Source organism: Homo sapiens (assembly GCF_000001405.40).
Source record: "Homo sapiens chromosome 16 unlocalized genomic scaffold, GRCh38.p14 Primary Assembly HSCHR16_RANDOM_CTG1".
In the NCBI taxonomy this organism is placed as follows: Eukaryota; Metazoa; Chordata; class Mammalia; order Primates; family Hominidae; genus Homo; species Homo sapiens.
In genome coordinates, this window is record NT_187383.1 from 986,653 (window position 1) to 990,293 (window position 3,641).

At 63.2% G+C, this 3,641-nt stretch overlaps 1 pseudogene; it reads right to left on the bottom strand.

Annotated features, from left to right (window-relative positions):
- Nucleotides 1-280: 280 nt before the first annotated feature.
- Nucleotides 281-3,212, bottom strand: LOC102723964 (alpha/beta hydrolase domain-containing protein 17A-like; annotated as a pseudogene).
- Between the last annotated feature and the right edge of the window lie 429 nt (nt 3,213-3,641).

Consider the following 3,641-nt stretch of genomic DNA (forward strand, 5'->3'; position numbering starts at 1 on the left):
AAAAAAAAAAGAAAAACTTTGGAGTATATTAATAAACATTGTGTTTTTTTTAAAAAAAATTTAAATCTTTAATTTCCGTTTTCACGATTTTTCTTCTTGCTTCCAAAAGGAAAGGAGTGCGTAGCTCTGTTGCCTTTACATCGTCCACGGCCCCTGGGTTGGGGCGGGGTCCCCCGGGCCGCCCGGGGGTCCACATGCAGTCCCTGGGGAGGCCGGCGCGGGGTGAGGTCCGGGGGCCGCCTTATTGCTGAGGTCCGGCCGGTTGGGGCCCTGGCGGCCGCTAGGCGCTCTGGCTGCGCAGCTCCTGGGAGATGAAGCGGGCAGGCGCTCCAGGTACTGGCTGTAGAGCTGGATGTCTTTGTGCCCGGCGCCCTCCACCCACAGCGGCTCCACGGCGTTGGGGCAGCGCTGGTAGAGCGCCAGCCCGTGCGAGAAGTCCATCACCTCGTCTTTCGTGTCCTGGATGATGAGCACGGGCGGCGTGATCTTGGACACCTTCTGGATTCTGCGGGAGGGGCGTGGGGCGGGTGAGACCTCGCCCGGCCCGGGCCCCGCCCCGCTCCGCCCCCGCCCCCGTCCCCGCCCCAGCCTGCTCACTTGGGGAAGGCGTCGAAGCAGTAGGTCTTGGTGTCCGGAAGGCGACGCTCAGGTCCAAGGTGAGCGGCGAGTGCAGCACCACCGTGGCGGACTCGTAGCGCGAGGCCAGGTCCACGGTGGGCACCGTGCCGATGCTCTGCCGGTACAGGATGATGCCGTCCGGGCTGATGCGGTACCTGGCGGCACCTGAGCAGGGTCAGCCTAGGCCTCCAACGCGCGCGCACCCCTCCTGCCAGCGGGCGTCCCCGGGCCCAGCTCCGGATGCGACTCTCCAGTCTCCCCGCTCAGCCAAGTCAGTTGGTCAGGCCCAGGCTCCACACCAGTCTCAAGGGCCACCCCCAAGCCCCCCAACACCGCAGCGGTGGGCGAAGCCGGCGGCCTGGTCCTGTTCCCTGCCACTATGGTTCACTGGCGTTTCCTAGCCAGGATCTGCTGGATCCTGGCTAGGGAGTCCCCCTCGGGCTAGGGTAGGGGAAGCCCTGGCACCTCTCCTCCTCTTGGTCACCCCTAGGCGCACACTGGGAACTGTGTGGCCTCCCACATCCTGAATGCTTCACGCCTTCCTGCCCAGGTTAGAAAGCTCTTCCTGGTGCACTGGCCGGGACACTCTTCCTCCCTGCAGCCCTTGCCTACCCCCTTGGCCATGAGGAATTCAGGCAGCTGTGTCCCCAGATGTCTCCACCCAATTTTGGACTCTCAGAGTCCCATGCCCAATGAGCTGCCAGCCCAACCCAGGTCAACATCGAGGGTGGTGGCTGCGGGGGCAGCATCTCCTCCCACCAGTGCCTTCCCTTGGGAGTGGACAAGTCCTCCGCCACCTCAGCACCACCAGCTCCCACCCAGGGCCACCCCCACTCCCAGGTCACTGGTGTGCGGCCCCTGGCCCAGCTGACCCAGCACCAGTCCCAAGGCCTCCTCATGCCCAGTCCCAACCACGCGGGACCCACCTGCCACCCTGTCGATGCCGAGACCCCAGAACTCTCCTCCCACAAGCTCCAGGCTCTGATGCCAGGCAGATGCCCTCCTGCGAGGCAGGAGCATGGGCAGGTGTGCGTCCCGTCTGGCTGGCATTCGGACTCCACCAGCAGGGCTGTCTCCCTCCCTGGCCTGGAATCCCAGCCTCCTGGCAGCACTCCACAGCTCACTGCTCACCCATGCCCCAAAGGATGCTGCCTGGCTTGTGCCTGTGGCTGCAGCTCTGCCTCAGCCTCCCTGGCCTGCTCCCTGGCAGCCAAGGCCAGTAGTGTGCTGAGCCAGCCCAGCCCTGTCACCTGCTCCAGGCAGGAGCCCCCAGCTGCCACCTAGATGTCACCACTCACACAATCAAACAAGACACATCCTCCATAGAGGCCCTGAGCGCTATCTGGCCTCCCCCTCACGGCTCTGGGCTGAGGATCCTGCAGGACAAAGCGACAGCAGGACAGACGGCGGAGTAGACAGAGCTCAGAGCTGGCCATGGGGTGTGTGACTCTGCCAGTGCCCCGGGCAGTAGAGACAGGAGGGGCCCAGGAAGCTGCATGAAGTGGTGCTTGGTTTCGGCGCCCCACACTGCCGGGAGGCCCCCAGAGCCAGGGTGGTGCCAGGGGACCCAGCTCCCACGCCCACAGCAGGGACTGCCTGGGATATCTCCAAGGCAACGAGGACCCCACCTCCCAGGGCCTCTGACTTCTCAGAGCTGCGCCTGGCCCCTGCAGGAGCGGGTCAGACCACTGGGCTGGGCAGGGCAGGGCCAGGACGAGACAGCCCCAGCGGGTGGCGAGCAGGAAAGGCCCCCAGAGGCCCACGCGGGTCTTCTAGTCCAGAGCAGCACTGGCCCGGGTGGTGCTCAAACACCAGTGAAGGGCCCAGGCAAGCGCAGGGCTGGGGACCTGGATGATTAGGAGGGCTGGATCTGGAATCGAAGCTGGCCGAGACCTCAGGTGTGTGCTGGGGGTCTGCACCTGACCCTGCAGGCCCTGCCCCGGGATGGCTGAGCTCCACAGCCACGGGGCCTCATGGGCCAGGCCTTGGGACCTCGATGCAGCAGCCTCGCCTCACCTGGCCCCAAGTGCGGCCTCAGCCCGTGGGCTCCCAGCCACACATGCACAGACCCCCTGACACCACCCACCCCCTCCCGCCAGGTGGTGTCCACGCCCCTGTGACAAGCTCAGCCCCTTCCTGTCCTCAGGCCAGGGGATCCCAGGGAGCCTGGCTCCACAGGCCAGGGTGTGGGGGGACCTCCTGGCCACACCTCAGCCATGTGGAGGCAGCACCCGCATGCCTGAGCTCACCTGTCCGGCTCTCTGGCAGCATGCGTCCACTGTGGCTCCTCTCCTGCAGGGCCGCCCACCTTCCTCCCAGGGAAGCCCGCCCCTCCCCCCGGCCCCTGGCCCCCGGCCTGGTCCCCTCTCGGGTGTGCCCAGGCTGAGCTGCGCCCGGGGTCGCCCTCACCTGGTGCGCAGGGCCTGCCAGGCGGCGTTGATGTCGGCGTAGAGGTTCGTCTCGGAGGGCCTGCCCGAGCTGGCACCGTAGCCAGAGTAGTGGTAGGAGAAAATGTTGCAGTGGAGGCGGGAACACAGGCCAATGTAGAAGCTGCTCATCTGGCCCAGGTCCACCGCGTTGCCTTCCTTGTTCATGCACCTCTGGTCAGACGCAGTTCAGCTGATCTAGGCTGGGCTTGGCTAGCATTGGCTTGAAGCTGCAGCTGGTGTCCAGATCTGTTCTACGTATTTGTGATTCTCCTCAGCCCTCCCGGGTACTTGAAGCATGTTATTGTTATGGCAAAAGTCAGGAGTGCAACCTGCCTGTGCAAAAACATGCCAGGCTTCTGTTGCCTGAAATCCTCTAAGATACCCCTTTGGCTTAAGCAAAATCACACAGCAAGGATCAAAGTCAAGGAGTGGGGAATTATATCTGTCCCTTAGAGATGGAGATAGGAGAGAGTGTGAACAAATGCAGGAAAATGATCTCATCTACCAGAGTGTCCTTAAATATTTTAACATAATAAATTCAGTATTGTTTTTGTTTGATTGAATGAAGCTTTGCATGGACACAGTACAGCACAA